The 3,932-nt window shown below is 48.9% G+C and overlaps 1 pseudogene; it reads right to left on the reverse strand.

The window, feature by feature from the left end:
* Positions 549 to 3,462, reverse strand: PRAMEF30P (PRAME family member 30, pseudogene; annotated as a pseudogene).

Consider the following 3,932-nt stretch of genomic DNA (forward strand, 5'->3'; position numbering starts at 1 on the left):
AGGCAAAGCTTGCCATGAGCTGAGATTGTGCCACTACACTTCATCCTGAGGGACAGAGTCAGACTCTGTCTCAAAAATAAAATAAAATAAAATAAAAATATAAAAAATTAAATTAAATTAAAATTAAAAATGCACCCATGTACAAGATTTTAGTTCCCAAGTGTCCGGAAGAAAGCTTATCCATCCCACTAACCAGGCCTTCCCTAGGAGCACATGGAACTCCAGTTTCTCAGATGGCCATGAGCCACAGGAAGGGCAGGGGGTGGGACCAAAGAAGATCCTCCTGAGGCCAAGGCGGGCGGATCACGAGGTCAGGAGATCGAGACCATCCCGGCTAAAACGGTGAAACCCCGTCTCTACTAAAAATACAAAAAATTAGCCGGGCGTAGTGGCGGGCGCCTGTAGTCCCAGCTACTTGGGAGGCTGAGGCAGGAGAATGGCGTGAACCCGGGAGGCGGAGCTTGCAGTGAGCCGAGATTGTGCCACTGCACTCCAGCCTGGGCGACAGAGCGAGACTCCGTCTCAAAAAAAAAAAAAAAAAAAAAAAAAAAGAAGATCCTCCTGTTCTGCCTGACTTCCCTGAGTGTACGCATCAGCTCAGCCGTAATTGGGGTGAGGATCTCCCAATTGGCATGACCCCTGTTGTCAAGACACTCCAGAGGGGCAGGATACATGTCCAGGCCTAACTTGCTCAGCCTGCCTGTGTGACGCAGCAGGTCTTTCAGAGCATTCGTGGAGGTCTCATTTCCATGAAAGTAGAAGGTGGTGAGCTGGGAACAGTGGCTCAGGGCAGGCAGGGGGACCCTGAGTTGGGGGGCCTGGATCCGACAGTCCTCTAAGACGAGGGTCTTGAGAGTAGCAGCAACTTTCTCCAGCAGAGCTCCAAGGGGCTCAAGATTGGTGGTCCACATTAGGATATGAATCAGACGCAGCTCCTTTAGCTGACTGAGGCTTGGGTACTGAGACAGACACTCCATGTCCCGATCAGCTAGGTAAGCATCACTGAATGTAAAGGCCCCCAAGGGGTTCTTGAGGTACCTGGGGAGAGCAAGAAGTTAGTTATGGGCAATGGTGCCAGTTAGAGGAGGGGGGTGGGAAATCATCTCAATGGTAAACTTGAAGTGGGCATTGAGTAATTCTGCACCTTACTACCACACAGGTGTTATAGTAACTGCAATAGGGAAGCCTGTTTCACCCAAACACAAGTTTGTTCCCATCACCAGATGATGGTCTGCGTGCAAGGTGCTGCCTGATGAAGACTCAGATCATTCAGGGGCAGCTCTATTTTAGGCTCAGTCCTTTCAGCCTCGCTTGTGTGATTGGTACCACTCTCACACCTACTCCCTCACCCTCCATCCCAGAAGCATGCACTTCCCGTATCAATTACCTTTCCTGGAGTTCAAAACAACCTTTCACAGACAAGGAATTACAGACAGGATCATTGGTGTTTATTAAGCTGCTGAGGACGGAGCTTCTACTGTGAAATGCACAGGTTTCATGCACTTTCCCTTCTTCTTTTTCTTTTCTTTTCTTTTTTTTTTTTTGACACAGAGTCTCACATTGTAACTTAGGCTGGATTACAGTGGCACAATCTCAGCTCACTGCAGCCTTCACTTCCCTTGCCTCAGCCTCCCAAGTAGCTGGGATTACAGGTGCCTGGCACCATGCTCAGCTAAATTTTGTATTTTTAATAGAGATAGGGATTCACTGTGTTGGTCAGGGTGGTCTGAAACTCCTGACCTCGTGATCTGCCTGCCTCAGCCTTCCAAAGTCCTGGGATTACAGGCATGAGACATCACACCAGACTGCACTTTCCCTTCTTTCATACCCTCTTCTTTATGAAGAATACGTTTTCATCATATTAACTTTATACACACTTCCTAAGGAGGAATTCACAAATGCCCCTTCACTAGATGTGAATCCCCAACTAACTAGCTCCCTATACATCTCTCTCTGTAGCATCTACCCCAGGCCATCCCTCTGCCCTTATTTGAGTGGTCTTGTGATACCAACTTCAGGATATAGAGCACTGAACAGCTTAATGAGTTGACATTCTAGCATCCCATTCCCTGTGACATCCTCAGTGGATGGCACACAGTAGATGCCCACTAACATTTACTGTGAAAAAGAACAAAAGTCTGTGTTATGGTCTGCACAGAAAGCCCACCATCGTTTCCTACCTGAGCAGGTGCTCCAGGTGCTCTTTGATATTACTGACCTTTCTTATATAATGCATCTGGGGGTAGTACAGGCACAGGAATGGCCAATCCAAGTCAGGAATGAACTGCCATTGGCCGCTCACGTATAATTCAGGCTCATAACCGAAGGCTAAAAAGTTTGCAAAGATTGCTCATCTGGCTCAGGTAAGGGGCAAACTTTCCCGTTTTATTGAGAGAGCACTTTTTCCAGACTTCCAACTCCTGGATACTATCTGGGTATATCCTTTCCAATAGATTTCTGAAACTTGAAGTGGGCATTGAGTAATTCTGCACCTTACTACAACACAGGTGCACTAGGCCTCTTCTGTAGTGGATCCACCTTCAGAGGTAGCTCAGGCATTCATGCAGTGTACTTTCCTTCAGGCAGAGGTCTATGAACACCTTCAAGGGCTGGCACTCTCCCATCCTTGGACAGTTCTCCACTGTCTGCCTCTTACTCATGGCCTCTGGGGAGCAGGGGAGGACCCTGACTCCAGACCATATGGTCCAGAAATTCTCATCAACATCCCTCAAATCCAGCACTTGAAGTTTCCACCTCCTGTGAGTAACATAAGGGAAAAGCTCAGAATGTAGGCAAGGACCGACCCTTGACCTGAACTTTCACTCCGCATCCAGGACATGAGTCAGCTGCTCCTGTCCCAGTGCTCCTCCTTCTGTCTTTTCTCCATCCTGTTCCCCCTTGGATTCTGCATGGTACCCACTTCTAGTACCTTTACCTTCCACTGGGAGGAAGCAGGTTCCTGTTTCCTCAGTGGACCCTGTATGGTAAGCAGTCCTTTTCCAGAGGATCTGGGCAATGGCCAAGGCTTCTCATGGGCACCATCAGAAGCCTCTGAGCCACCCTAGCTCCCACACACTGCCACTCCTCCTGAGCCAGCTGTCCCTTCCCTGGATGTCTGGACCCTTCCCACCAGGCCACCTGAGTCACCTCAACTGGGGCAAACCTTCTGGGACACTAGTGTATCAAGTCCCTTCAGCACAGCTTGCAAGGTCTCCAGATGAGTTGTCTTCATCAGGGATCCCAGAGGGAGGTGAAGGGAGGGCCAGGCCTGCACCATCAGCTTCAGGGCCTCACAACATCTCATGCTGAAGGCCTCCATGAACAGAGGGGAGACCTCCCTGGGCAGCTCATCCAGGGTGAAGATAGTCAAGAACTGGTTCCTCAGCAGGCTCTGCCCTGCCAGCTCCAGGAGTCTGGATGGGGTCTGGAGGCTCATTCTGACAAATCTACAAGGAAAAACTCTACAGCACAATCCAGCAAAAAGGCAAGTTCCTCAGACCAATCCCCTGCAACCCCCAATTCTCCCAGGGCCAAAGTCATTTCTCTAGCGTGTGTGAAAGAGCCCTTAGTTTACTCCAGTTCCTTTCTGCAATAAGTGGCCACAGAGACACAGTTCTACCCTTCTGGTACCATGAAGAATGTGTCCCAACTTCTAAAGAGCAGGCAAGATCCCTCGTAGTCCATGAATTATTAGCCACTGATCCACTAAACTCATAGCACTGGCAAATGTTACCGAGGATCTCTGAAGCTCAGATCTCGTACCCAGCTAATCTTTTATTTTTTGACTTTTTGTAAAGACAGTGGGTTTCACTATGTTGTCCAGGCTGGTCTTGAACTCCTAGACTCAAACAATCCACCCACTTTGGCCTCCCAAAGTGCTGGGATTGCAGGCATGAGCCTCTGCCTGGTCTCATTATTGAAAATTTCAGCGA

Source organism: Homo sapiens, chromosome 1, assembly GCF_000001405.40.
Source record: "Homo sapiens chromosome 1, GRCh38.p14 Primary Assembly".
NCBI classification, from domain to species: Eukaryota; Metazoa; Chordata; class Mammalia; order Primates; family Hominidae; genus Homo; species Homo sapiens.